General features: G+C 39.3%; 1 protein-coding gene across 9 annotated transcripts in view; it reads right to left on the reverse strand.

Annotated features, from left to right (window-relative positions):
* Nucleotides 1-10,080, reverse strand: part of SMYD3 (SET and MYND domain containing 3) — a 757,933-nt gene that overhangs the window by 522,531 nt on the left and 225,322 nt on the right. The gene's annotated exons all lie outside the window — the stretch shown is intronic.

A 10,080-nucleotide genomic window follows, 5' to 3' on the forward strand; every position in this document is an offset into this window, starting at 1 on the left:
TTTGGGTAGGTAATGACATCTTAACAATATTAAATCTTCCAGTTCACAAACATGGGATATGTTTCCACTTATTTATGTTGCCTTTAATTTCTTTCAGCAATGTTTTTCTGCTTTTCATTGTTAAGTTTTTAACCTCCTTGTTAATTCCTAAGTATTTTATTCTTTTGGATGGAATTGTTTTTGTAATTTCCTTTTCAGATTGTTCACTGTTTGTTTGTGTATAAAAATGCAACGGATTTTTGTGTATTCACGTTGTGCCCCAATACTTTGTTTAATTCAGTTATTAGCATTGATAGTTTTTTGTGGGATCTTTAGGATTTTCTATCTACAAGGTCATATCATCTATGAACAGAGATAATTTTACCTCTTCCTTTCCAATTTGTGTGCCTTTTATTTCTTTTTCTTGCCTAAATGGTCTAGCTAGAACTTCAGTAGTATGTTGAATAGAAGTGGTGAAAAGCAGGCATCCTTATCTCATCCTCAATCTTAAAGGAAAAGCTTTTGGTCTTTCACCAGTAAGATGTTAGCTATGGGTTTTTCATATATGGCTTTTACTATGTTGAAGTAGTTTCTTTTTATTCCTTATGTGTTCAGTGATTTTTGTCATGAAAGGGTATTGAATTTTGTCAAAATGATTTTTCTGCTTCGATTCAGATGATCACGTGGGGTTTTTTTCCCCCTACAATCTGTTTATATGATATATTACACTGATTGATTTTCACATTTTGAACCATTCTTGCAGTCTGGGAATAAATGCCATTTGGTCATGGTGTATAATCCTTTTAATATGCTGCTAAATTTGGTTTGCTAGTATTCTGTTGAAAATTTTTACATCAGTGTTCATAAGGGATACTGGTTTGTAGTTTTCTTTTCTCATAATATCTTTGTCTGGCTTTGGTAACAGGGTAATGTTGGCCTCATAATAAAAGCATTAGGAAGTATTTCTTCCTCTTCAATACTTTGGAAAAGTTTGAGAAAGATTAGTATCAGCTTCTCTATAAATGTTTGGTAGAATTCACCTGTGAAGCCCTCCAAGTCAGCTTTTCTCTGTTGAGAGATTATTGATTACTGATTCAATCTCCTAACTAGGTATAGGTCCATTCAGATTTTCATAATTTTTGTCTTTCACAGTTTTTTATATTTCCAGAAGTTTGTCCCTTTCATCTAGGGTATTCAATTTGTTGTCATACAACTCTTCCTAATGCCCTCCTATAATCCTTTTTCATTCTGTATGATTCATAATAATGTCCCTGTTTTCTTTTTTTTTTTTTTTTTCTTTTTTTTGGGGGGGGGACAGAGTCTTGCTCTGTTTCCCAGGCTGGAGTGCAGAGGCACAACCTCGGCTCACTACAGCCTCCGCCTCCCGGGTTCAAGTGATTCTCCTGCCTCGGCCTCCTGAGCAGCTGGGATTACAGGTGCCCGCCACCGTGCCCAGCTAATTTTTGTATTTTTGGTAAAGACGGGGTTTCACCATGTTGGCCAGACTGATCTGAAACTCCTGACCTCAAGTGACCCACCCACCTCGGCCTCCCAAAGTGCTGGGATTACAGGCATGAGCCACCACGCCCGGCCCAGTAATGTCCCCATTGTCATTTTTTATTTTAGCAATTGGAATCTTCTTTTTTCTTAGTCCATCTATCTACAAGTTTGACAATTTTGTTAATCTTTTCAAGAACGCAGCTTTTGGTTTCACTAATCTTTTTTTTTTTTTTTTTTTTTTTTTAAAGACAGAGTGTTGGTCTTGTCGCCCAGGTGGGAGTGCAGTGGCACGATCTCGGCTCACTGCAACCTCTGCCTCCCAGGTTCAAGCGATTCTCCTGCCTCAGCCTCCTGAGTAGCTGGAATTACTGGTGCCCACTATCACACCCTGCTAATTTTTGTATTTTTAGTAGAGACAGGGTTTCACCATGTTGGCCAGGCTGGTCTCGAACTCCTGGCCTCGTGGTCCACCGGCCTCCTTAAGTGCTGGGATTACAGGCGTGAACCACTGCGCCCGGCCACTAATCTCTCCTATTGCTTTCCTATTCTCTATTTCAGTTAACACTGTTCTAATCTTTATTATTTCCTTCCTTCTGCTAGCTTTGCATTTAGTTCTTCTTTATCTAGTTATTTCACTTTAAAGTTAGGAAACTCACTAATTTTGGTATTAACTTCTTTATCAGATATTTTAGAATTAGACCTATCGATCATGTCATACTTTCCTCAGATTCATAACTGCATGATATAATAATCCTGTGTATTCGAGTCAAAAGACACAGGGACTCTAAAGCAAGTTCTTCATGCTCTGAAAGCATATTATTCTTTCCTTTTGTCTTTATGTGTCCTAGAAGTCATTAGACACAAAACATGGAGTTTCAAGGTTACTGTTAGAGAACATATCGTGAGTCTAATGGTTAATTACTTCCATATTATCTAAGTTTTACAAACCTCTGATGTATTCTTCCTTTGGTTTTATTGTTCCAAGCTTCACATCTGGGCTTCTCACAATGCCTGATTTTTATAGAAAGAACACAGTCATATAATAAAAAACACTGATGTCAGCACACTGACATTCAACCCAGTGTTTTATCTGGGGCTCTGCTTCAGGCCACTGTTGCTGAATGCTGTGGACTCCATTCTCCAAGTGCACGTATTTGTTTTGTGCTTTAAAATAGCTAAATTATTATATATAACTACAACATAGAACTTTTAAAAATTCTGTAACTCAGGATTTTCACAATTCAGGTTGAGTCCCTCTATCCAGTCCAAATTCATCCAAATTTTACTGACTAGCCCTCAAACCTGAGAAATAGAAATGCCTCCTAACAGACACAGGCCGTCCGAAGGTCAATCAAATCCCATGGGAATATGACAAAAAGCACCTTTCTCTGACAAGAGAGAGCCAGTAATTAAGGTCTCAGCCTTGTTCCCCTCATCTCTGCTTGGATCAGAATTCAGTTTTTCAAATAATGCCCTATAAATGTTAAGCCAAAAACATAGGCAACACTCTACCGGGGTCAGTACCAGGACAAAGAACATCACATTTTATGGAATCTATCTTTACAATCGTATTTTTATGCAAAAAAACTCAATGACTACTGTAGCTGGGACACCTCACAGTTGTTCCTGCTACATTCATTTTCATCCTTTTGACTTTTATAGGCAGATTTTTTTTGAGAATTTTTAAAAATTATATATAAAGACATTTTTAGGAAATCTGAGCTGGTGTCCTCCTTTCATTCCTTAGAACCAGACAAGAAGGCAGGAACAGTGAAGACAAAATACAATGCGCAAGAGCAGGGGCAGGCAACTGTTTTCTGTAAAGGGCAGCCTTCACAGGCCAAACCATCTCTACCGAAACTACTCAGCTCTGCTGCTGTAACAATAGACAAGACATGATACATACAAGAACGGCATGGCTCATTCTGGCACCCAGGCTTATAGTTTGCCTGCTCCTGGCCAACAACAAAGATATGGAGTCTGATGCCCAAGTTTGAATACTAACTCTGTTTTTTACTAGCTGTATTAACACTGGCAAGTTATTTAATGTTTCTAGTGGAGTCTGATGCCCATGTTTGAATACTAACTCCGTTTTTTACTAGCTGTATTAACACTGGCAGGTTATTTAATGTCTCTAGTGGAGTCTGATGCCCATGTTTGAATACTAACTCTGTTTTTCACTAGCCGTGTTAACACTGGCAAGTTATTTAATGTTTCTAGTGGAGTCTGATGCCCATGTTTGAATACTAACTGTTTTTTCACTAGCCGTATTAACACTGGCAAGTTATTTAATGCCTCTAGTGGAGTCTGATGCCCATGTTTGAATACTAACTCTGTTTTTTACTAGCTGTATTAACACTGGCAAGTTATTTAATGTCTCTAGTGGAGTCTGATGCCCATGTTTGAATACTAACTCTGTTTTTTCACTAGCCGTATTAACACTGGCAAGTTATTTAATGCCTCTAGTGGAGTCTGATGCCCATGTTTGAATACTAACTCTGTTTTTTACTAGCCGTATTAACACTGGCAAGTTATTTAATGTTTCTAGTGGAGTCTGATGCCCATGTTTGAATACTAACTCTGTTTTTCACTAGTCGTATTAACACTGGCAGGTTATTTAATGTCTGTAGTGGAGTCTGATGCCCATGTTTGAATACTAACTCTGTTTTTCACTAGTCGTATTAACACTGGCAGGTTATTTAATGTCTGTAGTGGAGTCTGATGCCCAAGTTTGAATACTAACTCTGTTTTTCACTAGTCGTATTAACACTGGCAGGTTATTTAATGTCTGTAGTGGAGTCTGATGCCCATGTTTGAATACTAACTCTGTTTTTTACTAACCGTATTAACACTGGCAAGTTATTTAATGTTTCTAGTGGAGTCTGATGCCCATGTTTGAATACTAACTCTGTTTTTTCACTAGCCGTATTAACACTGGCAAGTTATTTAATGCCTCTAGTGGAGTCTGATGCCCATGTTTGAATACTAACTCCATTTTTTCACTACCCGTATTAACACTGGCAGGTTATTTAATGTTTCTAGTGGAGTCTGATGCCCATGTTTGAATACTAACTCTGTTTTTTCACTAGCTGTATTAACACTGGCAGGTTATTTAATGTCTGTAGTGGAGTCTGATGCCCATGTTTGAATACTAACTCTGTTTTTTACTAGCCGTATTAACACTGGCAAGTTATTTAATGTTTCTAGTGGAGTCTGATGCCCATGTTTGAACACTAACTCCATTTTTTCACTACCCGTATTAACACTGGCAGGTTATTTAATGTTTCTAGTGGAGTCTGATGCCCACGTTTGAATACTAACTCTGTTTTTCACTAGCCGTATTAACACTGGCAGGTTATTTAATGTCTGTAGTGGAGTCTGATGCCCATGTTTGAATACTAACTCTGTTTTTTCACTAGCCGTATTAACACTGGCAAGTTACTTAATGTTTCTAGTGGAGTCTGATGCCCATGTTTGAATACTAACTCCGTTTTTTCACTAGCCGTATTAACACTGGCAGGTTATTTAATGTTTCTAGTGGAGTCTGATGCCCATGTTTGAATACTAACTCCGTTTTTTCACTAGCCGTATTAACACTGGCAGGTTATTTAATGTCTCTAGGTCTCAGTTTCCCATCTGCAAAATGGGGGTAATGAAAGTACTAATCTCATATGTCTAATATGGAGATGTACATATAAGCCAGTATGTGTAAAGTGATTAGCACATGGTAAATAATATGTTTACTACATTAATATGTGAGCAAATATACATTAAAAAGGTGTTATTTTGTGAACTTGTAAATAGTTGAAATAATGCATTCAGCTTAGGCAACCTTGTTTCAAAAAAAAAAAGTGCAAGGTTTCAGAAAAGAAGATGTACAAATGACCAATAAGCCTATATATAAAACGCTCAACATCATTTATCAAGGAAATGCCAACTAAAACCACAATATAACGTCCTTGCACACTGTTACAATGGCTAAAATTAAAAAGAGACTACATCAAATGCTGGTGAAGGTGCGGAGCAACTGCTGACTGGAATGCATCATCACTTTGGAAAATAGTTTGGCTGTATCTTATTTTAACATGTAAAAACAAGCAAACACCACCACCACCACCACCAACAACAACAACAAAAATGCTCTTATATGACCCAGCAATCTCACTACTGGTATTTATCCAAGGGAAATAAACCACATGTCCACCCAAAGACTCATACATGAATATTCACAGCAGCTTTATTCACAATACCTAATCAGGGGAGACAACACAGATGTTCATCAGCAGGTGAATGGATAAACAAATTGTGTTATCCCAATACAGACCACCGCTCAGTAATAAAGAGGAACAAACTACTGACACAAACGACATGGATGAACCTCAGAATCATTATGCTAAGTGAAAAGAGTCAGACCACAGTCTATAACGTACAGTTCCATTTCTTCAAAATTCAAAACAGACAAAAGTCATCTATAGATACAAAGCAGATCAGTGGTTGCTGCAGCCAGACGTGTAGGAGGATTGATACCAAAGGGACATATGGCAACTTTTGGGGTCACGGAAAGTTCTGTATCTTCATTGCCATGATAATCATCGTATATTATATTCATGGCATACATATTTGTTAATACCCAAAGTATATACTTAAAGTTTATTTAAATAAAAAGGTACAAAGAAAACAGAAATGAGGAAGGGAGTACAACTGCAAACAGCCAACTTTAAAAGGTGAGTAAGGAGCTCAGCACAGACCAAACCAACAACTGGGATTTTCAATGCCTCAGGTCGGCCTGGAGGCCCACAAGTGCTGTGAATGTGAAACCCAGGAACAAATCTCCTGGGTTACTCTCATGTATGTCGATGTCCCTTTCCGTCTCCCCTCTGTTTAAGAAAAAAAAAAAAGCTGAGAAGACAAACTTTAAGTTGGCCCCTCCCCTAAGACACCTAGCTACCTCCTTGGGGTGTGCAGGCCTTTGTACAATCCCCTCGCCTTGCCCCTTATGTATGGGCATGATCTGTGACTTGCTTCTAACAGAATATGGCAAAGGTATATGTCACTCCTGCCAATTACATTTCATAAAACTCCATCTTGCCATCAGATCTTCACTAGAAGCTCTTCTTGCTGACTTAATAAAGTACATGGTCATGTGGGGAAAGCCCTACCTGAGAAGGAACTGTGGGTGGTCTCCAGGAACTGTGGGTAGACTTCAGCCAAGAGCCGGCAAGAAGCCAGGGCCCTGAGTCCTACTGATGCAAGGAGATAAATTCTTTCAGTGGCCCAAGCGAGCTGGGAAGTGGCTTCTTCCCCGGATTTCCATACGAGAACACAGCCCAGCTGACACCTTGACGAGAGCTTTATGAGACCCTACATGGAGGATCCAGGTGTGTGTGGACACCTGACCCACAGAAACCATACGATTAAAAAATATATGCTGCTTTAGGCCACAAAGTATGTGATAATTCATTATACAAAATAAAAAATATAAACAGAGGAGAAGATACCTAAATGGTTAAAAAGAAAAAACAATACACCCAATAAAGTCGGCATTTTCAGAACACAAGCGCTAGGCAGAGCTGCCTGACTGTTGTCAGGATCATGCAGCAACTTCTTTAACAAGTCATGCTGCCCTGTGTTCCTTCCTGACACCATGACAGGAGCAACCACTCAAGTCCAGCATCCTCTAGGCCCTAAAGTGCTACTACATGTGACTCACAGACTTCACAACAGTTCTAAGAGCACTGGAGAACAGTACCTACTGTCCTTTAAAGCCAGGGCCTTACTCCCTTCTGTGGAGACACACACCCCTTGGCTCTAAGTGGCCCCAGTGGACATGACACAACAATCCCAAAGAGCCACTTAAGCTACAATGTAAGATTGTTGAGACCAGCCGGGCGCGGTGGCTCACACCTGTAATCCCAGCACTCTGGGAGGCTGAGGCGGGTGGATCACCTGAGGTCAGGAGTTCCAGACCAGCCTGGCCAACATGGCGAAACCCCATCTCTACTAAAAACACAAAAATTAGCTGGGCATGGTGGCGCGTGCCTGTAATCCCAGCTACTTGGGAGGCTGAGGCAGGAGAATCACTTGAACCCGGGAGGCGGAGGTTGCAATGAGCCAAGATCATGTCATTGCACTCCAGCCTGGCGACAGAGTAAGACTCCTTCTCAAAACAAAAACAAAAACAAAAAAAAAGATTGTTGAGACCAATGGTTATGTGCATGGGGTTCTACTCTACAGCTAAAGAGGAAGTGGGATGCAAGACAAAGGCAGTTATTTAACCTCTATAACATATTTAGCAGGAAGCTCAAATATGCAGACTATTGAACAGGGAAGAATAGAGTAGGGAGAGAAAAGACGATAGTGTAGTACCATGGGGAAGAACAGTCCAAGAAGTGTGAATTGCTCTGCCAGGGACAGCCCTGCCTGTGACGCATCACACAACTTCTCTATAAAACAAGGCTTTATGATCCTTAAGGCGTCTTCCAGGTCTAAGAGTCTATCATTCTACATTATATAAAAATCTTTAGTTGAACAATTATAGTATCTTGGGGGGAAAGTGTACTAAGGCATCAAGAAAACAATTTTATCTGCTAAGAGTACTTACTCGTAGTAAGTAAGATTAGTATGCAGAATTCTGAGTTTAGCACACACGATGTTCTTAGGATTTGGGAGCCTAGTCTTATAAATGTGAATGCCATACATTAGGTTGCAAAGAAAAGGCCATTCATATCCACGAAGATAACAAAGGAATATATATAGTAGCATGAGGTGATTTTATTTAAAGTTTAATGTCCTCAAGTAATCATTCCATGCTCAGTTTCTTATAACTGTAACTTGGAAATATTGACATTTCATATGCAAGCTATAACTAAAACTAACTTTTCTTTATAACCAGCTAGGAAAAAAATAGGCACAAAGTATTATTTTATAAAGTCTACCAAGTAACGAACATCAAAGAAATGCACATGATATAGTCAGGCTTTTTCTAGCACTTGTCAGTACAAGCCAGTTAGTGGAGTAAATCGGTTTGGCTGAAAGTCCTATGCTGCCATGCGACAGAAAAGAGAGCTAAACTATCCACATTCCATAGTTTACCTTCTGTCACTAATAATCTCCATCATCTACTTAAAAATCTTAGAGAAGCTGGGCACAGTAGCTACTTGGGAGGCTGAGGCAGGAGGATTGCTTGAGCCCAGGCGTTCGAGTCCAGCCAGTGCAACACAGTGAAATCTCCATTTCTCTCTTTAAAAGAATGTTAAAGACATCTACCTCAATTTTTGGCAATCTCCTACTGTAGCTTGAAATGTTAAAGCTTACATTTAGACTGTGCATGTCAGTTTCTATTATCATTCCACTTTACAGAGAATTAAAAAAACACTGTGCTTGCAACTTAAACTGGTATTAAACTGACCCCTGCTGGCCTCATCTTTTCTGTTTCTGCATTTATCAGATGCTTCAAGAGCTAACTGCATTCTATAGTTCAACCTATATTTGATCAGGCTGCCACCTCAAAAACAAAACGTGGGACAAAGATGGCTAGTTGTACCAAATTCCAAATGGAAGGATGCCTTCCTCAGACCTTTGTCTATTTTATTTGCAAAAACCTAGCAATTAAAATCACACTAATATTCCAAAGAAGTATCTCCTATAGCCTATGAATTTATTCTAAAACCTAATGCACTCAATAGACATTTACAGATTTCTCAAAGACTGCCGGGAAATAAAGATTTTTCTAATCACAGCACCTGCCCTCCAGGTACTTACAGGCATTTATGAGTCATTGAAAAGATACATCTGAGAATTCAATTCTAGCATATCATTGGACACCACACAGGTGAGAAGGAAGTGGGGTCCCCATTCAGCCCGTGGTAGAGCCTGCCTCACTGGTGCCAGGTCACTTGAGATTCGTTACTGAAATGGCCCAGGACAATGTGTTCTCTTCCTTCTTTGTGAACTCACTGTGCTTTATGAATTATAATGGCTGCCATTGATTGGCAACCTACTATGTGCCAGAGACTACTACAGTTAGGTGCTTTCCACACACTATCACATTTACCCTACTCAGTAACTCTGTGAGATAGGTGATTTTATGCTCAAGCTTGTATCATGGGTGAGTAAAGCTCTGTGAGAATACTGATCATATCATACCGCAATGTTTTTCCTTTAAAGAGATGTTTCTCCTCTAAACAACAGCAAACACCTTAAGCACAGGAAATTACGTTATTGTCATCTCTGTATCCTCAGAACCTCATATACCTCAGTAAAGGCACATAGTAGGCACTCTAAAAACATCTGCAAAACATACAAATGAAAATATTATTGAAAGAATGTAGCTACTAAATACATACTATGGGCATAACCTATGCTTAGGCACTGAGAAAACAGTGGAGGAAAAGAAAGAAGAGGCAAAGGCTTTGATTCCTGAGCACAGACACCCATACGTGACTATGGAAAGAAAAGGAGAAGTTCCAAGACATAAGTAAACAGAATGCTATGTCAATACAGCTCATACTACCAGTCAGCTCAAAATCAAACAGAAAAAGGACTCCTAAATCAGAGGACAATGACACACTGGTGCTGGGCTATTGGAAATGAAACCTATTA

The sequence above is a fragment of the Homo sapiens genome, chromosome 1 (genome assembly GCF_000001405.40).
Source record: "Homo sapiens chromosome 1, GRCh38.p14 Primary Assembly".
Classification (NCBI taxonomy): Eukaryota; Metazoa; Chordata; class Mammalia; order Primates; family Hominidae; genus Homo; species Homo sapiens.